Below are 24,065 nucleotides of genomic sequence, written 5' to 3' on the forward strand. Positions count from 1 at the left end.
GGAGCAGGAGGAGCGCTCGAGGCCGCCCTGGGAGGGCTGAGAGGCAGGCTCTGGACTGGGGACACAGGGATAGCTGAGCCCCAGCTGGGGGTGGAAGCTGAGCCAGGGACAGTCACGGAGGAAGAAGATCAAGATGCGCTTTAACTGAGAAGCCCCCAAGGCAGAGGCTGAGAATCAGAAGACATTTCAGGAGAGTGAGTGGGGCTCCAGGCAGGGTGGGGATGGGGCAGCCTCCTCAGTGCCCAGATCTGGAAGGGCCATTCCCTGGGTACCATACAGTGAGGAGGTGACTGAGGGATTGTTTGGGGAAGGAGCCCTGGCTGGGAGTGGAAGTCCCGGCTTTCTTGTTATGGTGCAGTCCTGTGTTGCTGTGTGACACAGGCACATACACCTTCTCTCTGGGCCTCAGTTTCCTTACCTGTAAGTTGGTTGTTGGGAGGACCAGCAGTAGAGCAGAGATGGCAGGGATGCACTGGGCTGGACTATCAGCAGACCATGGGGGTGGGACGAAGAGAGAGCTGAAGACCACCAGCAGTGGACCACAGGGGGAGGCGTGCAGGCAGGAGACGGGTCAGCTGCCGGCTTGCTGGAGTCATTCCTCCCATGCAGTCCCCTCCTGAGGGGCTGGAGCTGGGGCTGGAGGGTTTCAGCAGTCAGGGCTGGAGATAAGAGTCTGTGCTGGAGCTAGAGGGAACTGGGCTAGATAATCAGGAGGACAGACAGGGTGAGGGGACTTCGGGCTACCTTCATGCTGTCAGAGATAAAGATAGGAGTACAAAGGGGAATTTTTGGGTGAGGTACACGGGTGAAATGAGTTTTCAGGGCCTCATCCTGTGTGTTCACCTTCTGTGTGTGTGTGTGTGTGTGTGCATGTGTGCATGTATGTGTGTGTGCAGGTCCTGGACAGTCGCAGCTTAAGTTAGCAGCAAGAGGGATTGAGGTTAAAGGTGTAGCACGCAAATATGAGGCTGGAGCCACTGAGTAGAGGCTGAGGGCATCTCCACAGTCCAAAGCTGGGCTGCAGACAGGGAAGGTCAGGAGGAGCACTGGAGGGTCTGGCCTGGGGTTGGGGTCCTGGGGCCAGCATGGGTGGGGTGGGGCTCCAGGACGTCACCTCATTGGCTGAGCACCACTCCTCCCTCCCTGTTGCTTGGCTGGGCTAAGGGAGTGGCACTAGCAGGAGCTGCCCCAGGGCTTCTCCCCTGGGGACCAAGGTCTGATGGAAGTGTGGGGCCAAGTTCTGTGTCCTCCAGCCCTAGTGACCTCTCTTTGGCTCCTCAGCATCTACAAATCTGAAGGACAAAACATGGTTCAAGCATCTGGGCACAGGCGGTAAGTACCCCACCCTCTTCTCACCCTCCAGCCCCCTGTCCTCCACCCAGCCCACTTCAGTGCCCTCCCTGCTCCATCCTCAGCCTCTCCCTTGGGGCAGCTGTCCCCCCTTGACCTCCTCCTCCCCACCCACCCACTCACCTCTGAGGTCCCAGAAGAAAAGCATCTTCCACCTGTTGCCTGGGCTGGGTCCTGGGGTGAGGGGAGGCTCAGAAATACTTGGATGAGGGTCAAGGCATGCAGGTGGCCTTCAACTCAACTGCACTCAGCACCTCTCACCCTCTCAGGCTCAGCTGTCTTTGGGGTGAAAAAGAGCCAGTCCTTGCAATGGCCAAGGCCCTGCCTATGTAGTCCTTGTTAGCTTTCTGACCTCCCCACTCCAGCCCCCTGCTCTCCCTCCTCCAGCCACACTGAGTTTCTTTTCTGTTTTTTTTTCTTTTTTTTTTTTTTTTTGAGATGGAATTCAGTTCTGTCACCCAGGCTGGAGTGCAATAGCACGATCTTGGGTCACTGCAACCTCCTTCTCCTGGGTTCAAGTGATTCTCTTGCCTTAGCCTCCTGAGTAGCTGGGATTACAGGATTACAGGCACACACTACCATGCCCAGCTAATTAGTTGTTGTTTTTTTTTTTTTGTATTTTTAGTAGAAATGGGGTTTCGCCATGTTCGCCAGGCTGTTCTTGAACTCCTGACCTCAGGTGATCCACCCGCCTCGGCCTCCCAAAAGGTTGGGATTACAGGTGTGAGCCACTGCACCTGGCCTCACACTGACTTTCTTTGCTTTCTTCAAACAAGCTGAGAGTCCTCTGGTGACTATTCCCTCCATCTGAGAGGCTTTCTGCAGTTAACATACAGCCCACTCTCATCTTCATGGCTTTGCTCCAAGGCCACCTTCTCAACAAGGATTACTCTGACTGCCCTATTTGAAATCACACCCCATCTCCAGCCCCTGCACTCCCAATTCCCCTCTCCTTGCTCTGTTTTTTTCCATAGGAGCTGGTACCTTCGCTTATACAAATGAACTTACTTATTACATTTCATTGCTGTCAGCTCCACACAAGCAGGGATATTTGCCTGTTGTATACTTGGACGGAGAGAATGAATAGTGCCCCTCTGTTGACATCATTGCCTCTAGCCTACGTCTCTTTCCAGGGCTTTAGATCCTGTTTCTAGAGACCCACTGGTGTCTCACAGGCAACTCAGCTCCTAGATGGAAACAGCCTCCTCCGCCCCCCACAAGTCCACTCCTCCTGTGCTCTTGGCTCAGTCAGGGGTCCCCTTCTCTTCAGTTGCTCAAGCCAGAAGTCAAGGTCATGTCCTTGATACTTCCCTCTCCCCCATGCCTCACATCCAGTCACCAATCTCCTAAAATATCTAGAATGTGCACAGCTTCCACCATTCTTTCTACCACCACCCTACTCCCCCATGGCCATGTCAGGCCACCACCCGCCCATTCTTCAAAACTCCCTTCAGTCCTCACCTCCCATGCCTCCCCTGAGCTCCCCCAGTCCCAGGCTGCTTCTCTCTGGTGGTGTTGCCATTACCCATCTCTTCTATTAAACAGAGTGACCCAAGAGTGGAGAGTGGGTTTTGACTTTGTATCCCTGGTGCTTGACTCATAAGTAGGTGCTCAACAAAAATTTTTTCTTTTTTTGAGATGGAGTCTTGTTCTGTTGCCCATGCTGAAGTGCAGTGGCATGATCTCGGCTCACTGCAACTTCTGCTTCTTGGGCTCAAGTGATTCTCACGTCTCAGCCCCCACCCCAGCTGGGATTACAGGCACCTACCACCACGCCCAGCTAATTTTTTTTTTTTATTTTTAGTGGAAATGGGGTTCTGCCATGTTGGCCAGGCTGGTCTTGAACTCCTGACCTCAAGTGATCCACCTGCCTCGGCCTCCTAAAGTGTTGGGATTACAGGCATGAGTCACCATGCCTGGCCAACAAATGTTTGTTGAATGAAGAAATGTTGGTTAGCAGGTTGAATTGTTGGCTCGTGGTTAGTTGGATAGTTTATGGTTGACTGGTTGATTAGATAATTCAATGAGTTAATAGCTGGTTAACAGGAGAATCAGTTAGTTGGTTTTTGATAGGTTAGTCAAAGGGTTAGTAAGCCACCGGGCATGGTGGCTCACGCCTGAAATCCCTGCACCTTGGGAGGCTGAGGCTGGAGGATTGCTTGAGTCCAGGAGTTTGGGACCAGCTTGGGTAACATGGCAAAACCCCATCTCTACAAAAAATAAGAAAAAATAGCCGGTCATGGTGGCATGCTCCTGTAGTCCCAACTACTTGGGAGGCTGAGGTGGGAGGATCACTTGAACCCTGGGAAGTCTAGGCTTCAGTGAGCTTTGACTGTGCCACTGCACTTCAGCCTGGGTGACAGAGTGAGACCCTGTCTCAAAAAAAAAAAAAAAAAAAAAAAAGAAAGAAAAAGAAAAGAAACAGGCGTTAGTGAGTTGTTAGCTATTTAGTTCCTTGGTTAGCAGATTACTTAGGGGATCTGGTTGGCTGTCAGTTTCTTGCTTTGTAGGCTGGCTTTCTTGGGCCCCTCTTCTTAGTCTGTACCCTCTCCTTGAGCTCTCTCATCTATGCCCATGGCTCAGATGACAATCTGTGATTTGCTGTCCTCCAAATGTGTCTGTAAGTGAGACCACATGACCAGCTGCCTCCTCACTGGCCATCCCACCCAAGTGTCTAGCGGGCTCCTCACACTCAACATGTCCAGAAAGGGCCTCCTTGTCCATTCTCCCACAGCTTCTCTGCTGTGCCCCACGCTAGTCATTCCGCTGCCCTAGCCAGGACCTGAGGGCATCGCTGAGCTGCCCCGCTCCCTTCCCTCTCTAACCGAACACCAAGCCTGTCAGCTTGACTGTGCTCTTGTGGCCATTGGCACTGCCATCTCTGTGGCTCAGGCTGCCACCACTTCTCCACCCATCTGTGGAGAAGCTGATGCTCACCCTGCCTCCACTCCACTTCCTCCATCCTGGCCTCCGCAGGGGAGGCAGCTCTCCTGCTGAAATCCTCCACTTGGCCCATGGCCCTCTGGTAGAGTTCAGACTCCCTAATGTGGGCCATGAGGCCTTCTGCCACCTGGCTCTGGCCCCTCTCTGCCCATCTCATGCCACCTCCACTCCTCCGTGGCCAGCCCATTCCTGCACATTGGATACTGCCTTAGTTGCAGGCCTTTGCACATGTCAGTCCTACGCCCAGAGTGATCCCTGCCTCCCTGGAGGCTCCTTTACCCTCCAGCCTTCTTTTCTTGACCTAAATTTCTCTTTCTCTGGGAGCCTCCTACCCCCTCCTCTAGGCCATTCACTTCCTCCACATGCCCCACAGTGCCCACTCTTTCAGCTGGGGCAATGCTCATCACACTGCATAGTAATTGCTCAATTGATTGCTTTTCTTCCCACGGGCTGGATTGTACCAGTGTCCTTTACTGCAGTGACTGAACATTCTAGGCATAGTGGATTCAAGAAATCTTGAGTTCATTGGCTGGTTGGTGGTTATCTGTTGCTTACTGTGTCTTGCCTGCTGTGTGGTGATGAGGAAGGAGCCAGGCTTCCAGGACTCTCTTGGTGTTCTTGTCTTTCTGCTCTGTCCACTTCTCTCTCCTCTTCTGTGGTTACCTCCAGCATGGGAGGTGGGGTTGGATGGGAGCCAGTGGAGGGTCACCTCGCCCTGCTAGGGAGAGCAGCAGCATTCCTCAGGGCTCCTAAATTCCCCTGACCTCGCAGCAGCAAAAAGTAAGCAGAGGGAATGAGAGACGTCCAGGCATGGAACAAAACATCTTCCACTTTTCAGCTGAGACCCTCTGTTCATAGCTCACCCATCCCAGTCCTTGCTGTATTCCTTACCCCAGAGAAACAAAACCAGGGATGAGTAGATTGAGGGGGATGCAGAGTTGCGTGGATATTCCACTGGCCCCCATCCAACTCCAGCTCCCATGCAGCATCGTATAGGGATCTCATTATCCCATGACCAGCCTCCTCAGCCCTGAAGAAGAGACCCTACCAATGCAAGCAGCAGCCCAAAGACAGTCCTGGGAAGGTACCATAGAGGCAGGGGAGAGGTAGACAGAGCAGGGAGCCAAGAACACCAAGGGAATCCTGGAAGCCTGGCTCCTTTCTCATCAGCACAGAGCAGGCAACAACCAGCCAAGGAACCAAAGATTTATTGAATCTACTATGCTTACTATGTTCAGGCACTGCAGTGAAGCAAACTGGTATGATCCCAGCCCTTAGGAAGAAAAACTGTTAATTAATTAAGCTTTTTTTTTTTTTTTTTTTTTTTTTTTTTGAGACAGGGTTTCGCTCTGTCACCCACGCTGGAGTGCAGTGGTGTGATCTCAGCTCACTGCAACCTCTGCCTTCTGGGCTCAGGCAATCCTCTCACATCAGCCTCCCCATTAGCTGGAACCACAGGCATACACCACAACACCTGACTAATTTTTGTATTTTTTTTTCGTAGAGATGAGGTTTTGTCATACTGCCCAGGCTGGTCTTGAACTCCTGGGCTCAAGCGATCAGCTCGCCTCGGCAAGTGCTGGGATTACAGGCGTGAGCCACTGTGCCTGGCCTAACTGAGCAATTACTATGCATTGTGATGAGCATTGCCCCAGCTGAAAGAGTGGGCACCATGGGGCATGTGGAAGAAGTGAATGGCCTAGAGGAGAGGGTAGGAGGCTCTCCCAGAGAAAGGGAAATTTAGGTCAAGAAAAGAAGGCTGGCGGGTAAAGGAGCCTCTGGGGAGGCAGGAGACCATTCTCGGTGTAGGACTGGCATGTGCAAAGGCCTGCAGCTAAGGCAGTACGTGATGTGCAAGGATGGGCTGGCCAGAGGAGTTGAGGGGCTGGTGTCAGCTTCCGGGCATGCAGACAGTGAGATAGCAGAGTGACTAAGGCCACACTTAGAGGTATCTGTATCCCTCCTCTTCCTCTTTTTTTTTTTTTTTTTTTTTTGAGATGGAGTCTCGCTCTTGTTGCCCAGGCTGGAGTGCAGTGGCAAGATCTCGGCTCACTGCAACCTCCATCTCCCATGTTCAAGTGATTCTCCTGCCTCAGCCTCCGAAGTAGCTGGGATTACAGGCATGTGCCACCACGCCTGGCTAATTTTGTATTTTTTAGTAGAGATGGAGTTTCTCTATGTTGTTCAGGCTGGTCTCGAACTCCCAACCTCAGGTGATCTGCCCACCTTGGCCTCCCAAAGTGCTGGGATTATAGGCGTGAGCTACCGGGCCCAGCCCCTCTTCTTCCTCTTTATCCTCCAGTCCCACCCCGCCACCTTCCCCAAACTCCAGTCCTATACGTCTCCCTATATGCAGATTTGGGCCCTGTTACTCACCTGTTTCATCTACCTTTCCATCTAACCATGCACTTAACTAAATATAAATCAAGTGCCAGGCCCTTTGGGAAGCTCTGAGGATCTAGTTGAGAGTAAGACAGATTCCCCAGTTTTCACTCATTCAACAAATATTTATTCACATCTACTATGTGCCTGGCATGGTGCTGGGCACTGAAGATACACCAGGAAGTAGATCCAGTCCTTCCTTTTCTCCCTCCCTCTCTCTTGGTCATTCATTCATTCACTCACTCTCTCACAAACCTCTGTTTGCACTGACCTGGTTGCACAGCCTCATGCATTTTGCTGACCCCTTCATTTTTGACAGAACCTGGCACATGTTTCAGCACTCAGTGCTGTTTACAGAGCTCGGCAGCAGACTTTGTCACACCTCATGCTGTTTGTAGAGTGCCTCACTGTTGCCAGGCCCTGGCCTGTGACCCCAAAGTTCTGGCTCTAGCAGATAGGCAGACAGACAGATGGACAGACATAGACAACTGAGCTCTACTTTCCAGCCTGCTCTCTCCCACCCTGCTTTTTCCCAGAGGCTTGTTGGCACCGTGGATTGCACTTTCAGCTCCCCACTTGCCCGTCTGCAAAGTGGCCTCATTGGTGTGCCATTTTTACTGGTCTAGTCCCAACTAGAAGGGGCATGGCCTGGCCATCTACCCCAGTTCCTCTCCATGTCCCCATGGCTCTCAAGTGTCTCCAATTCCAGCTGTCCCAGCTGCCCCGGGCAAGAGGAGGCGTGTGTGGCGAGGCTGCTGGGTTACCTATTAACTCAGCTGTGAGTTGAAGAGCCGATGGGCAGCAGGCAAACTTGAGTCTCCTTTCTGTCCCTGGGCTCGGGCCACTGTCTCAGGTCCACCCGTGGCTCCAAAATGGTCTCCTGGTCCGTGATAGCAAAGATCCAGGAAATATGGTGCGAGGAAGATGAGAGGAAGATGGTGCGAGAGTTCTTGGCCGAGTTCATGAGCACATATGTCATGATGGTGAGTGGGTGGGCAGCACGAAGTGGGTGGGGCTCCACCAGGGCTGTCCATGACCCCCTCCCCATGCTGACCCCATGGGTCACATTGTCCATTCCTTGCCTCTGAGCTGGGAGCCTGGGGAAGCAGTGAGGAAAGTAAGGAGTGGGGGCTTTCTCATCAAGTCTTTTTGGACAGAAAGGGCTCATAATATGTGGGGGTCAAATGAAACCATGCACTGGGGTATCCGGGGCACGGCTGGAAATGGGGAGAAGGGAAACCCAGAGTAAAGATATTGAAGAGGCCCAGGTGCAATGGCTCATGCCTGTAATTCCAGCACTTTGGGAGGCTTAGGCAGGTGGATCACCTGAAGTCAGGAGTTCGAAACCAGCCTGGCCAACATGGTGAAACCCCATCTCTACTAAAAATACAAAAATTAGCTGGGCATGGTGGCGGACTCCTGTAATCTCAGTTATTCAGGAGGCTGAGGCAGGAGAATCACTTGAGCCCAGGAGGTGGAGGTTGCAGTGAGCTGAGATCACACCATTGCACTCCAGCCTGGGTGACAGGAGCGAAACTCTGTCTCAAAAAGAAAAAAAAGAAAAAAAAAGAGAGAGAGATTGAAGAGAAACTTGATGATTGGGCTCTGATAATGAATCTGGAGGGCAATGGGTGATGTTGAAGGCTGGCAAGCAGGGGAGTGACATGATCAGATTTGGATTTTAAAGGTAATTTTGGGTGCAGTGTGGAGCATAAGCAGGACAGGCAAGGCTGGCAAGAGGGAACAAGTTAAGAGGCTGTTTTTGATCTGGGACAGAGAGAGGGTGATGACTGATCTGGGGTTGGAGAAGAAAGCACATGTTTGAGAGGGCTGTGGAAGATGGAATCGGGGAGACTCTGCCAGCAGAAGATGTGGGCAAAGCGCCGATGAGCTGTTCTGGAGCACGGGGCCCAGCACAGGGTGAGAGGCAAGATGCCTGTGGGGAAATCCAGGAGATAGTTAAACACAGGCAAGGGGCTGGAGCTCAGGAGAGGCTTGGTCTGGAAGGAAAAAGTTGAAGTTCATCACAACACAGGTGGTGGTTGTCAACACTCTCTAGAAGGAGTGTACAGAAAGAGAAAAGGATGGTTTGAGGACAGAGCCCTGAGGAATGAAGAGGGGCATGCAAAGGAGCCTGAGAAGGAACGGTCAGAGAGGTGTGAGGAGAACCAGAGCTGACTGCATGACAGAGGGGGGCAGTGGTTCCACCAGGAAGAAGCCGTCAGCGGCATGGGCAGCGGCAGATGGGCCACGCAAGGTGAGCACTGGCAAGAGGCCTTAGGGTTTGGCAACGTGGAGGTTGCTGGTAACCTTGACAAGGGTTCTTCTTTAGTGTGTGATTGGGACAGTATCCAGACTGCAGGCAGGATGTGAGGTTGCTCCCTCTCCACCTGCTTCAGCCCTGCCACTTACCCCAGTGAGCCTCTGCCCTTAACATGACTGTAGCCATGTTTATTGCATCTTATGCAGGGTCCAGGGTCTAGAAAAAGAAGGGGCAGCCTCTGGGAAGGGAGGCAAAGGCAGCCAGGTGCATGGCTAGAGGAAGGTGGGGTGACAGAGGCTGTTTGTGTGTGTGGTGGGGCCCATGGAGCTCAAGGGAGAGAGGAAATCGGAACACCAGGGTTCTTAGCCTGACCCTGCCACTGAGTGACCAGTTGGCCTTGGGCAGGTCTCTCCCTGGCTTAAAGCCTGACTTCTCACTTATATTGTGTAGAATTAGACCTTCGTGGGCTTTGGAGCTGTGTTTGAATCCTAGCTCTGTTATCTTCTAGCTGTGCGACTATCCACAAGTATCTTAACTGTTCACAAATTTAGCTTTCTTGTTTTTGAGACAGGGTCTCACTCTGTCTCCTAGGATGGATTGCAGTGGTACGATCTCAGCTCACTGCAGCCCCCACCTCCCATACTCAAGTGACTCTCTTGCCTCAGCCTCTTGAGTAGCTGGGACTACAGGCACGTGCCACTGTGCTCAGCTAATTTTTCTATTTTTAGTAGAGATGGGGTTTCACCGTGTTGGCCAGACTGGTCTCGAACTCCCGAATTCAGGTGACCTTCCTGCCTCGGCCTCCCAAAGTGCTGGGATTGCTGGCGTGAGTCACCTCGCCTGGCCCACAACTTTAGCTTCCTTATTGGTTAACAGGAGGACTTGTGTGAAGAAGGCCAAGTCTCAGCACCCAGTGTGGTACCCATGTATTGCTCCCTTGTTATTAGGACGGGTGCTCTAGCTGCTGTCTCCTCTCTGCCTCTGGCCCTCCCCTACTCCTCTCTTACCTCCCCACCTGCTTTGGCTCCTGAGCTGTGAGGACAGCAGTTGGATCCTGTCCCTCCTTAATCCAGGGCAAAGTAATTCACTTACCACAAGACATTCCAGCCCCATGAGGGCTGTTAACCCTTGGAACCTCAGAAGCAGGAGGGTGCATCCTCTGAGAGCTGTTAGGGAAATAGGCACTGCCCACATGCTTGATACCTGCCCACATCTGTGTTTCTCTTCCTTTTGTTGAGATTTTCATTGAGCACCTAATGCATCCCGGGCTCTGTGATGCTAAGCCCCTTATGTGCAGCATCTTCCCAAATCCATGCAATAGCCCTGTGAAGTAGGTACTATTATTATCCAAGTTTCACAGATGGGAAAACTGAGGCTCCTTGAGACTAAGCCTTTTGCCCAAGGTCACACTTTAAGTCAAGATTAAATCCAGTGCAGTCTAATATCACAGTCTTTTTTGTTTTTTTTTTTTTGTTTTTTTTTTGAGATACAGTCTTCCTTTGTCGCAGTGGTGCAATCTCGGCTCACTGCAACCTCCACCTCCCGGGTTCAAGCGATTCTTGCATCTCAGCCTCTGGAGTAGCTGGAATTACAGGTGCATGCCACCATGCCCAGCCAATTTTTGTATTTTTAGGAAATACAAGGTTTCACCATGTTGTCAAGGCTGGTCTTGAACTCCTGACTTCAAGTGATCCTCCCACCTCGGCCTCCCAAAGTGCTGGGATTACAGGCATGAGTCACCGTGCCCAGCCCAATATCACAGTCTTGACCCTTAACCTCTATGCTCTGTACCTTAGCTTAAATATTGACAGCTTTTAAAGACTGGCTTGTTAATGCTCCCCCAGCCAGGGTAAGGTCCTCACTTTCAGGTAGTTCAAGTTGCCTCTCTCAGCCTCAGTTTCCCCATTTATAGAGTGGGAGAAAAATTCTTGCTGTGCAGATTTGTTGTGAGGATTGAAGACAGTAGCACTTGTAAAAGAACTTTGTGAGGTGTAAGCCTATATCGGATATTGTGTTGTTGTTATTTTTAGTTGCCAGGCTGTGCCAAGAAGTGAGGGCTTTTTTTTAAAAATATATATATAGGAATCTCAGTGAGTCACCAGGGTGAAGGTTTTGCCAAAAAAGCTAGTGTGACCTTGGCCCCATTTATTGCAGCCAGGACGAGGGAAGTGGATTGATCCGTGTTGCAGCTTCCAGGGGTGTTGCCCTTGGAGCTGGCCTCCTGGCTGTGGGGGAGAGTTGGATGGGCTGGGCCACATTCACTGATCAGGGAGAGGAGGGGCTGGAGCCATCCGGGCCCTGGAAAACCAGCCATACACGTGAGACACGGGGCAAGGGTTGTAGATCACATGCTATGGGGGCCAAGAGAGCAGCAACTCTGGGCGGTGGGGACTTTGGCTGGCTGCAGAGTGCCAATCTGTGCAAAGCTGTATAGCTGCCGCCACTCCAGCTGACTGTTGTCATGGAGGGTGGAATGCAGGCCAGTGTTGCCTGAGCTGCTCATTTTTCAAGAGAGACGGAAACTTCTGTTCTTCAAAACCAAGTTATCTAAACAAAACCTGTGCCCTGGATGAATTACGTGCATGAGTTGCCAGTTGGCAGCCCTGACACAGGGAATCATGTGGGGTTCATTCACTCACCCAGTATTTTATTTTATTTATTTATTTATTTTGAGACAGAGTCTGACCCTGTTGCCCAGGCTGGAGTGCAGTGGTGTGATCTCAGCTCACTGCTCTGCCTCCCAGGTTCAAGTGATTCTCCTGCCTCAGCCTCCCGAGTAGCTGGGATTACAGGCATGTGCCACCACACCTGGCTAATTTTTTGTATCTTTAGTAGAGACGGGGTTTCACCATGTTGGCTAGGCAGGTCTCGAACTCCTGACCTCATGATTGGCCTGCCTCGGTCTCCCAAAGTGCTGGGATTACAGGCGTGAGCCAACACACCTGGCCTATGCTCATCCAGTATTTTTAGCACATGGTATTGGAATGCGGGAAAGGCCATGGGGGCCCCTCTGTTTTCAGACCCTCCATGCCTCCTCCAGTCCCTCTACCTCTTGACCCTGCTAGCCTGTCAACCTGTCCTGACCTCACTCCCCCCGGCACCCCCATCTGTTCCTGTCCTCTCCTGCTGTATCTTATCCTGGATCCAAAGCCAGCCCAGCTCTGGGCTCCCCTGCTTCTGTCCTGGGGCTTCTGAGGGACCCAGTGGGCCCTGCTCAGCTGCCTCTCCCCCACCATATCTGGGCTATTTCACATTTTCTCAGACATCCCCAAAGCTGCTCTGTACTCTGACTTTTTTTTTTTAAATCAGCAAATGGCTTGATCTGCTGCTTGATAGGTAAAATAATCAACACTTCATATGTTCAGCTCACCCTCTTGTCCCTCTTGCCACCAGACCCATTAACCACCCGTGTATCCACATATCACCCCTTGGCTGGGGCGGGGTCCTCTCCTTCCTGGAGGACCCCTCCACTTCTGCACCAATCCAGCTGTCCAGCCTATTCAGGTACTTTACTCTGTCCTTTTTCTCTGTCCTTTATCTTCAGCCCGTCCCTCTCTCAGCGTATAAACATACTGAAGTTTCTCCACTGAAAACAACACAAAATGAAACATCCCTCCCTTCACCCTGTCAGCCCCTTCACGGGATCATGTTCTCTCTTCCCCGCTCCTCAGGCAAGTTCTCGAAGAGGAGTCTACACTGGTGCCTTTCAACTCTTTTTTTTTTCTTTTTTTTTTCTTTTTTTTGAGATGGAGTCTTGCTCTGTCGCCCAGGCTGGAGTGCAGTGGCGTGATCTCGGATCACTGCAAGCTCCGCCTCCTGGGTTCAAGCAATTCTCCTGTCTCAGCCTCCTGAGTAGCTGGGATTACAGGCAAGCACCACCACGCCTGGCTAATTTTTGTATTATTAGTAGAGACGGGGTTTTGTCATGCTGGTCTTGAACTCCTGACCTAAAGTGATCCATCCACCTCGGCCTCCCAAAGTGCTGGGATTACAGGCATGAGCCACCGCACCCAGCCTGGTCTGCCTTCTTACCCTGTACCCTCTCCTGGGGCCTTCTCCTCTGACGGCTTTGACTTCGGCCCTTATGTCTACAATTCTTCAGGTTTTTTCCTTTATCAACTCTAGAACAGAGTTCTCCAGGGGAAATACAATGCAAACCATCTGTATAATTTAAATTTTTCTAGTATCCACATTAAAAAGGTAAAAAGCAACAGGTGAAATTAATTTTAATAATTAACCCATATATCCAAAATCCTATTTCAAGATGCAGTCAATGTAAAATTATTAGGATATTCTGGCCAGGCATGGTGGCTCACACCTGTAATCCCAGCACTCTGGGAGGCTGAGGTGAGAGGATTGCTTAAGGCCAGGAGCTCAAGACCAGCCCGGGCAACATAGTGAAACCTCATCTCTACACAAAATAAATTGAAAAAATTAGCTGGGATAGGGCTCAATGGCTCATGCCTGTAATCCCAGCACTTTGGGAGGCCAAGGCAGGCTGATCATATGAGGTCAGGTGTTTGAGACCAGTCTGGCCAACATCGTGAAACCCTGTCTCTACTAAAAATACAAAAAAATAGTTGGGCATGGTGGCGTGCACCTACAATCTCAACTACTCGGGAGGCTAAGGCAGGAGAATCACTTGAACCCGGGAGTTGGAGGTTGCGGTGAGCCGAGATTGCACCATTGCACTCCGGCTTGGGCAACAGAGCAAGACTGTCTCAAAAAAAAAAAAAAAAAAAATTGGCTGCGTGCCGAGGCACATGCCCATAGTCCCAACTACTTGAGAGGCTGAGGTGGGAGGATCACTTGAGCCAAGGAGATGGAGGCTGCAATGAGCCCTGATCATGGCACTGCACTCCAGCCTGGGTGATAGAGCAAAACCCTATCTCAAGCATCAAACAAACAAACAAATAAAACAGAGGCACAAGAAAGCAAGGCATGCATGGAGCAGCGCAGTCGTTTGGTTTGAGGCCATCTGGCACAGGTAACTGCCTGGATTTAATCCTGGCTCACCATGTACAGGCTGTGTGACCTTGGACAAGCCATTCAAGTTCTCTAAGCTTCAGATTACCCATCTGTCAAGTAGGGGAGAATAATAGTGCTTAACTATCATTTGCAACATCTGAGTTTCTGGCTCGGCCAACGGGGATGGGGAACATAGAGTGAGGAGCAGGTGTGCTGTGAGATGGCAAACCTTCAACAGAGCCTGAGACGCCCACGGAACACCAGGAGAGTTCCAATGGGGATTTGCAAATAGGCATCTGGCTCCCCCACAGAGGTGACGGGAATTTTAGCGCATCAGGCATAGCTGAAACTGTCTACGTGGTAAAACCATGCCTGAAAAGACCTTTGGAAAATCAGGAGGTTGCTGGAGCCCTTGGAGAGAGCTTTGGTGTCTGTGACATGTGGAAGTGGAAGCCAGATTGAGGAGGGGGTGCGAGGGAAGGGGTGAAGCAGCTGGCCAGTGTGTTCTCTCCTGCAGCATGACTGAAACAGGGAGGGGGCAACCAGGAACCCACAGCTGGAGAAGGACGCTGGGCAGGGGTGGGACAGTTTGCTGGGAAGGATGAGACTCCAGTGTGTGGGAGCTGATCAATGGGAGAATGGAAGGTATGGGGGAGACGGAGGCCTCTGCAGAGGGAGAGGATAGCACAGGAGCCAGGACTGAAGGGAACAGTGGCTCTAGACTGAGGGTAATGGGCCTGAAGGTAGGCCCCTTCCCCTGTGAAGGCGGCATTATCTGAGGAGCCGTGAGGGATGGGCAGCAACAGCTTGGGAATGCCGCCTGAGGTCAGTGGAAATGAAGCTGAGGGCAAGACAGTTAGGGCCCCACTGTTCCAGCATTGTGGGAATTGCGGCGGAGTGTGTGTGTGTGTGTGTGTGTGTGTGTGTGTGTGCAGGGAAGGGTTCCTGGCAGAGTCAGGTGTGGATGGATTTGGAGGTCCCTTGAAGAAACTTCCTTCAGGTCAGCCTGAAGTGTGAGGGACTCTGAGGGGGTGCAATGCATGCCAGCCATCCCCTCCTTGCAGCCCTGCCTCACCCCAAAACTTCAGGTGGGCCTGGGGCTGAGGTGCTTGGATGTTTGTCGTAAGAGCTTCTAACTCTGCTGCTCCACCCGGCTCTCAGTGGCTCAGGACTGAGAGGCCTCAGCAGGGGCAAGGAGAGGAGGCAGTGAGGAGGGAAGGCTCTGGAGGAAGAGGGCGTGGCAGAGGGTCTTCCAGGCAATGCCAGGGAGGCCCAGGGCATGGGGGTGAGGAGCTAGAACTGAGCTCTGAGCCCTCCTCTGAGGTTGGGGCTTCTGGGCAGGCAGCCCCCTTAGAGGCCCTCCCTTGTAGGTATTCGGCCTTGGTTCTGTGGCCCATATGGTTCTAAATAAAACATATGGGAGCTACCTTGGTGTCAACTTGGGTTTTGGCTTCGGGGTCACCATGGGAGTCCACGTGGCAGGCCGCATCTCTGGTGAGTGAGCCCAGGGCCTACCAGACTGGGCAAGACCAGGTGTCCCCAACAGGCTCTTTCCTGCCCACCTCAGCCAGCTCCTTTCCCAGCACAGCCAGTGCCTCAGCCTGGCCACCGGGCAGGAGGAAGTCTCCTCTGAACCCCGTGCCTATGACTTGTCTGCCCCAGATTCTTTCTGGGCCCCCCTGACCTACCATTTTCACTGGCTGGGTCATCTTAGGCAAGCCATCGCCTTCTGTGTTCCTCAGTTTCCTTAAGAGTGAAGGTGGCCCCTGCCTCACGGGGTGGTTGTGAGGGCTCAAGGAGAGAGCTCTGTCACAGAGCATGCTGTCATACACACTAGCCATCGTTGTTCTCATACTGTTTGTCACTGTTGTTTGTTCTGCTCTCACTCCCTGACACACTTGCCTGCTGCCCGCAGGAGCCCACATGAATGCAGCTGTGACCTTCACTAACTGTGCGCTGGGCCGCGTGCCCTGGAGGAAGTTTCCAGTCCATGTGCTGGGGCAGTTCCTGGGCTCCTTCCTGGCAGCTGCCACCATCTACAGTCTCTTCTACAGCAAGTGTGCTGCCTGGGTGTCCACCTCTGGCCTCAGCCGCCTCCTATGAAATATGGGCAGATTGGACCTCAGTGTCCTGATTTGTAAAAAATAGCTGGGAGAAAAAAGCCTTGGAGCTCCCCCACCCTCTAACCTATAACCTCATTTCTGGGACCCCAGTGGGGCTTAGTTGGGGGCAGGTTCGCATGATAGTCTGTGTCTCCGCAGCGGCCATTCTCCACTTTTCGGGTGGAGAGCTGATGGTGACCGGTCCCTTTGCTACAGCTGGCATTTTTGCCACCTACCTTCCTGATCACATGACATTGTGGCGGGGCTTCCTGAATGAGGTCAGTGGTCCAGGATGAGTACCCCTCCCCCTGCCCTCCACCCCTCAGGACAGAGCCAGCAGGGAGTCCCTCCAGATAGACAGGACAAGAACTCTGGATGGAGACTGTACTGAGACGTCTCTCTGCTGGTGGGCTTGGGTCTGGGCCACTGCCGATGTCCTGTGGCTTGGGGAGGGGCCCAGGTGAGCTGCCACAGCATCTGCTCCTCAGGAGTGGCTGACCAGGATGCTCCAGCTGTGTCTCTTCACCATCACGGACCAGGAGAACAACCCAGCACTGCCAGGAACACACGCGCTGGTGATAAGCATCCTCGTGGTCATCATCAGGGTGTCCCATGGCATAAACACAGGATATGCCATCAATCCATCCCGGGACCCGCCCCCCAGCATCTTCACCTTCATTGCTGGCTGGGGCAAACAGGTCTTCAGGTACTGCCCCTGCCCAGGCCCATTCCTTTGAGTTTTTCTGTGGAGCTCCTGTGTGTTGAGGGGTGGGGGGTGATGTGAGGGGCAGCACAGGAGGGTCCTGCAGAGCCCCCAGGTGGCCTGGGGAGCAGGAGTGAGTCCCAACATTTCCCCAGGCCAGTACAGATACAGATCCTGCACCTGCACTGAGTATCAACCCTGTCCCTGAATCGGGCTGAGGCTGACCAGGGCCCTGGGTTGGGGGTGTTTCCTGGGGTAGCCTGGGGATGACTCCTCTGCTCAACCAGTCTTCGCCCAAGGTGGATGAGGGTGCTGTCCTGGGCATCAGCCCCCTCAGCAGGCCTCTGCCTCTTGCCTGCAGCGATGGGGAGAACTGGTGGTGGGTGCCAGTGGTGGCACCACTTCTGGGTGCCTCTCTAGGTGGCATCATCTACCTGGTCTTCATTGGCTCCACCATCCCACGGGAGCCCCTGAAATTGGAGGACTCTGTGGCGTATGAAGACCACGGGATAACCGTATTGCCCAAGATGGGATCTCATGAACCCATGATCTCTCCCCTCACCCTCATCTCCGTGAGCCTTGCCAACAGATCTTCAGTCCACTCTGCCCCACCCTTACATGAATCCATGGCCCTAGAGCACTTCTAAGCAGAGATTATTTGTGATCCCATCCCTTCCCCAATAAAGCAAAGCTTGTCCCACAGCAGTACCCCCACTTCCTGGGGGCCTCCTGTGGTTGGGCTTCCCTCCTGGGTTCTTCCAGGAGCTCTAGGGCTATGTCTTAGCCCAAGGTGTAGAGGTGAGGTGCCTCAAGTCTTTCATGCCCTGGGAACTGGGGTGCCCCAGGGGGAGAATGGGGAAGAGCTGACCTGCGCCCTCAGTAGGAACAAGGTGAGATGAAAGAATGACAGAAACAGAATGAGGGATTTTCAGGCAAGGGGGAAGGAAGGGCGGTTTTGGTGAAAGGACCGTAGCTGACTGGTGGGGGGCTGGCTTTGGAAATAATTTGAGGGGATCCTGAGATTGGACTCTAGACTCTCCCCTGGTTCTTCCCTTCCCCGAGTTCTGGCCGGTTCTTGGACCAGACAAGGCAAGGCCCAAGAAGGTAGATCAGAATTTTTTAGCCTTTTTTCATTAGTGCCTTCCCTAGTATTCTTCTAGATTTTTTTTTTCTTAATCACATGAAATTTTAATACCACAGATATACTATATATCTGTTTATGTTCTGTATATGTTCTGTGCTTTATACGTAAAAAAGAGTAAGATTTTTTTTCACCTCCCCTTTTAAGAATCAGTTTTAATTCCATTGAGAATGCTTGTTATAGATTGAAGGCTGGTAAGGGGTTGGGCTCCTCTTTCTTCTTCCTGGTGCCAGAGTGCTCCCACATGAAGGAATAGGAAAGGAAGATGCAAAGAGGGAAATCCTTCGAACACATGAAGACACAGGAAGAGGCCTCATAGGCCTCCAAGGGCTCCAGGGAAGCAGCTGCAGAGGTTGGGTGGGGTGGGGGGCCAGGATCCACTGACCCTGGGGCCAGGCAGGAAACACTCTATTGCCTGGGGCTCAGAAGGCAGCATCACCCATGGTTCCTGTCATTGCTCATGCATTTTGCCTTTCAACAATTATTGTGCACCTACTGTGTGCAGGCCCTGTCTGGACACTGGGGATGCGCAGTGGATGCACTGGGCTCTGCCTTTGAGGGCTGCAGTTTAATGGGCGACAGGTAATTATAAGGAAGAAGGTGAGTGCAGAGTGGGAGGCTTGGAGGCAGTGGGGCTTGGGGTGGGAGAGCTCACATCCAGCCTCTGAGCCAAGGCCAGGAGGCTTCCCAGAGGAGGAGACAGAGCAGGGTATTGTGGTGGGGGGTGTCCTTTTTGGGGCTGGGAGCTGCACTTTACAGTTTGAGGGGATGGGCAGAGGAGGCTGGGCTTCGTTCTGGAGGTGGGGACATGGTAAGGTGAGGTTTAGAAAGCACACCTGAGCCACAGTGTGTAGGATGCTGGAAATGGTGGAGATGGGCCTGCAAAGAGAGTGCTGGGAAGTGATGACCCAGGAGCAGCAGCCAGGCACCTAACAATGGGTCAGCACCATGGGCGTGGAGACGAGGGCCGGGATTGATCAATACCCGAGAAGTACAATGTACAGGACTTGGGTTCCATTTGGATGGAGTGGGTGAGGGAGAGGGAGGAGTCAGAAATGGCTTCCAGTTTCCAGCTTGGGCCTGGGGATTAGAGATGTCCCCACTGAGAGTAGGGCACAAGTGAGGAAATGGTTTGGAGAGAAAGATGATAAGTTACATCATGGATGTGCTGAGTCTGAGTTGCCTATGGGACTTGGAATGGGGGGTGGAAAAAGGTGTGTGATCTTGAGCAAGATATTCAACTCTTCTGGGCCTTGGTCTTCTCATTTGTAAAATGATGATAAGAATATTACTTCCCATTTGTGTTGCTGTGAATATTAAGTGCGCTACCACATGTAAAATGTTGAGAATCGTTTCTAGCTCAGAGTAAGTGCTCAATAAACACAGTTATGCCTTTTATATGGTCTGGAGCTCAGAAGTGGAAGACAGGGTTTTGTGAAGTCATGGCTTTGTGGATGTAGCTAGAGTGTGGAGTAATGACAGGAGGGTCGGGGGCACGGCACAAGGTAGGTGGTCAAGAGACACTGGACACAACCCAAATGTCCATCCACAGGGGAACAGATACATACACTGCTGTGCAATTGCACATAGTAGAATCCTCTACAATAGCAAAAATTAAGGCACAACAGACACCTGCAACAACACAGAAAAATTCTGGAGGCATAAAAAGTAATACAGTAGCTGGGCGTGGTGGTTCACACCTGTAATCCCAGCACTTTGGGAGGCCAAGGTGGGTGGATCACGAGGTCAAGAGATCGAGACCATCCTGGCCAACATGGTGAAACCCTGTCTCTACTAAAAATACAATAATTAGCTGGGTGTTATGGCACACAACTGTAGTCCCAGCTATTCGGGAGGTTGAGGCGGGAGAACTGCTTGAACCTGGGAGGCGGAGGTTGCAGTGAGCCAAGATCGCATCACTGCATTCCAGCCTGGTGACAGAGCAAGACTCGGTCATAAAAAAAAAAAAAAAAAGCCTGGTGTAGTTGGGCACCTGTAATCCCAGCTGCTCAAAAGACTGAGGCAGGAGAGAATCCCTTGAACCTGGGAGGCGGAGGTTGCAATGAATGGAGATTGTGCCACTGCACTCCAGCCTGGGTGACAGAGTGAGACTGTTTCTCAAAAAAAAAAAAAGTAATACAGTAGACTATATACAGTGTGACACAGTCTTGTAGCTGAAAAATAAGCAAAAATACATTCTTTGCTATATATATGTATGTAAGAAAACTATTTTAGAAAAAGAAATAATTCCTACAGGCAGATGGGAAGAACACAGGAGTAGTACAAGCTATTAATAATTTCCTAGTTTTGGAGTTGGACATTTGTGGGTTTATTATATGATTGTGCTTGTTAACATAAAAATGTGATACATATTGTTTGTATGAGATATATATATATATACACACACACACGCACACATACATGTAGATGATTGCTGACAAGGAGTTTCTAAAGATAATATATATATTTTTAGGTAAAATAGAATAACATTCTGCTTCTGGTCTTCATAATAAAAGAGAAATCAGGACTAAGAAATCAAGTGTTTATTATATAGAGTTTTAATTTTTATTCTTTTATTTATTGATTTATCTTCTTTAGGCATGTGCAGAGATGAACTCACTAATTGTTCAAAATAAACAATTTGAATTCAAAGCAAAGTATATTTTTGGAATATCAATTATCACTTATTGCAGATAAATGATAATGTAAAACACCAACTTTGGAATTTATTTGTTTTACTTCTGTGACTCTCAGCCTTCTTTTTAAAATATAGTGTATGTTTTAGGTAAGTCCAGACAGCAGCCAGCACTACATTTGGTTTAAAATCCAGCTTTATAATGACTACATCTTTCAACCAGCCAAAGGCTAGTTACCTTGTGTCCGCCATCGTGCATATGCTCTCAACTGTTGACTGAGAAAACATGCCTGCAAGCACTTCCCTGCCTGAGATTATATTAAAAATCCATACCTGGGCTAGCAGCATGAGTTCAAGTTGATTATTGTTCTAGATCTGTGACTTCCCATTCATCCTCCTAAAGATATAAATGATTGCTTTCCAATAGACCACATAATTAGGAATGATTATGAAGGCAAGGTTTAGTAACAATAATATACATAGCACTCTAATGGGATTGAATTGGAACACCCACATTAAACTCTCTTAAAATATGTGGAGCAGAACACATGAGAGAAAGCAAAAGAACAAGCGCACACAGCAGAGCTGCGAGTTGCATACTCTGTGCATGCTAATACCATCGCAACAACATCACTAAGGCTTCTGGGTGACGTTTGCCGCATCATATTGTGACGTGCATTTGTTTTTATATTTTACCCTAAAAGGCAAAATAACTCTCCATGTGATGACAGAGGGAGCACACACAAAAAAAACCCTCTCAGAAATATTAAAATGGTTACAGGTAATTCAAATGGTATACTGTTTTAAAAGGTACTTGTCTAATACTTTAAGTTGGAAAAGCATCTTGGAAGTCATTAGATCCATATTTACATTACTTGAATTGTGACCCTAGCTTGACATTTCCATGGTGGGAGACATATTTTATTTAGGAGGCAGAAGTCTATTTAGTTTTTGAGAGCTTAATCGATAGATGGTTCAGGTTTTCTACTGAACCAAAATCTAAATGCCTACCCATTGGTTTTGGTAGCCAACGTCAATATCCAACTGCTCTTTCACACAACATGGCTTCAAAGGCTATGTAACTAACATCATGTCACTGCACCTATGTCTTTTTAAAGCCAAGTACCTCTAGTGCCCCTCATTATAGCTCATATTTCAAGGTATCTTTCAGCAACAATGAATTGCATTAATCAAACTCACTTTTTTTGTGTGTGCTTCACTTTATAGCTCTTCACAAATAACACATTTTTCACAAATTGAAGGTTTGTGGCAATCTTGCATCAAGCAAGTCTATTCATTCTATTTTTCCAACAACATGTGCTCACCTGGTGTCTCTATTTGACATTTTAGTAATTATCACAACATTTCACATTTTTAAATTATTATTATTATTTTAAATATTTTAACTTTTATTTTAGGTTCATGGGAACATGTGCAGGTTTGTTCTTTAGGTAAATTCGTGACTCAGGGGTTTGATGTACAGATTATTTTGTCACCTGAATAGTAAGCATAGTACCCAACAATTTTTTTCCCCTGAACCTCACCCATCTCTCATCCTCCTCCCTCAAGCACACCCCAGTGTCTATTGTGCTGCTCTTTCTGTCAATGTGTTCTTATTATTTAGCTCCCATTGATAAGTGAAAATAGGGAGTATTGGGTTTTCTGATCCTGTGTTACTTTGCTAAGGATAATGGCCTCCAAGCTCCATCCATGTTGCTGCAAAGGACAGATCTCATTCTTTTTTATGGCTGCATAGTAATTCATGATGTATATATACCGTACTTTCTTTTTCCAGTCTACCACTGATGGGAATTTAAGTTGATTCCTGGGTATCTATTACCTAAATTACATATAAAAGCAGAAAAGAAAAATGACAAGTAGAACATGAAAGTTAAACAGTATCTTTTCAGGTTCAATGACATAAATATTCTTATTATCTAAAGGTATACAGTCTAATGTTTTATTTCCTATAGTGCTTTTATAGCAAAACAGTTTTCAGAATTAGATAAACCAGATTGAGGCCCCAGTCTTACTACCTATTAGCTAGGTAAACTTGAGCTTTTGGATTTTCAGATTCAGATCTCGCAGGCAAATAAGATTTATTTGATATTACTTGAGGATGACCATGTCTATCTTGCAGATTATTATGGTAATGAGTTTATTTATGTGGATTGTTTTAGGATATTTTAAAACTATGTACAGACCTAAAAAAAATCCTCATAATCTTTGCAGAACTGGGGAGGCATACAGACATAATACAACTGTAGGAGTTACTGTTTCTCATGCTTTTGTTTTCTAACTGCTCTGGCCACTGTTTTAGAAGGAAGGGTGAATATATGTAAATATTCCTGAAAAAATAAAGTTTTAGAATATTAAATTATTACATATTTCATTCAGAATTTTTTGAAAGGTAAAACCAACGATTGAACGTAGTTCATGGGATGATCTGGTCCATATTCATCTACCATGATTTAACAAATTTTTTTCTCATCTATTGATGAGGAAAAAATTAAGGGGAAATGTAGAAATGTAAGGTAAATGATCTGCAAAGAAATAAACACAGGAGGTATGTGGGAATGTAACTGTGTAGGTCCGCAGGCAAACTAGGTGAAGGAGGAAGGTGAGGAAGAAAGGCATTTAAGACTTACTCTTTCTGTTTTCTTCTCAATTTTAAAGCCTGATGGAATATAATTTTCTCTACAGTAAACGTTGAATGAAAATCAGTTTTGTGTGTGTTAATAATGACTTCACCAAGAGCATTTGAAGCTCTATCATATTTTGATGCTCAAAATAAAACATTGTTTTTATAGCTTAATAGTCTCATACAGTCAATTATTGCCTCCCCTCCAGACTGACACTTTGAACATTATTATTAACACTGCTGTCCTTAAACCATCATCGGCCTGCAGTGCAGACAATTTATTGATAGCTAATAAAACAGTGTTCAGATGCTGCCTGAGGGCAGGATTCAGAATTGTCATACCAATGCATAACCACATTTGATTTTTTGGAACAAGTTCCATTACTTAAAAATCATGGTTTCATTTTCTTATTTTTATATCTAGATTTTAACATTATATGCATGCCTATATAAGCATTAAATATGTTATTCAGTTATGTGTGAGTGTAACTCAAATTTCTTGTAATGTGTATGTACAGTTTAATATAAGACAGATTATTGATTAGGAAATAGTTAACAATTAATAATAGACATTGGCCAACCTCAATTACTAAACCAGAAAGAAAGTTTATTTATTTATTTTATTATTTATTTTTTTATTATACTTTAAGTTTTAGAGTACATGTGCACCATGTGCAGTTTATTTAAATGTATTGACTGTTTTTTAGTCACTACACAAATCATCTAAAAGAAAATACCACAGATGAAACCTGCAGATCCACTAACTGGTTATCAGTTTATCAAGACTGATCGTGTCCACTCCCTTCAGAAATCACATGGATTTGTGCATTATGCAGATCTTTTTTGGTCTTCCCCATCTTTTCCCATCCTGAACTAGAAGTAGAAGCCTATTGCATTTTTATCTGGTACTTTCTTTTGCATTTAGTAGAAATACATA

The 24,065-nt window shown here is 49.0% G+C and overlaps 1 protein-coding gene across 7 annotated transcripts; it reads left to right on the forward strand.

Moving 5' to 3' along the window:
- The first annotated feature begins 95 nt into the window (after positions 1-95).
- Positions 96-17,413, forward strand: AQP7B (aquaporin 7B). 7 transcript variants are annotated; one of them, NM_001382497.1, is made up of 8 exons: positions 96-194; positions 1,282-1,332; positions 7,529-7,658; positions 15,277-15,400; positions 15,822-15,959; positions 16,168-16,286; positions 16,497-16,714; positions 17,073-17,413. In NM_001382497.1, the coding sequence occupies exons 2-8, from the start codon at positions 1,307-1,309 to the stop codon at positions 17,356-17,358; spliced, it is 1,041 nt and encodes a 346-aa protein (NP_001369426.1). In that variant the 5' UTR covers positions 96-194; positions 1,282-1,306; the 3' UTR covers positions 17,359-17,413. The 7 variants fall into 7 exon arrangements, with proteins under 7 accessions (NP_001369426.1, XP_005277022.1, XP_006712947.1 ...); XM_006712887.4 differs by lacking the exon at positions 96-194 and having other exon boundaries at positions 1,116-1,332; XM_005276965.6 differs by lacking the exons at positions 15,277-15,400; positions 15,822-15,959; positions 16,168-16,286.
- The last annotated feature ends 6,652 nt before the right edge of the window (positions 17,414-24,065 follow it).

Source organism: Homo sapiens, chromosome 2 (genome assembly GCF_000001405.40).
Source record: "Homo sapiens chromosome 2, GRCh38.p14 Primary Assembly".
Lineage (NCBI taxonomy): Eukaryota > Metazoa > Chordata > Mammalia > Primates > Hominidae > Homo > Homo sapiens.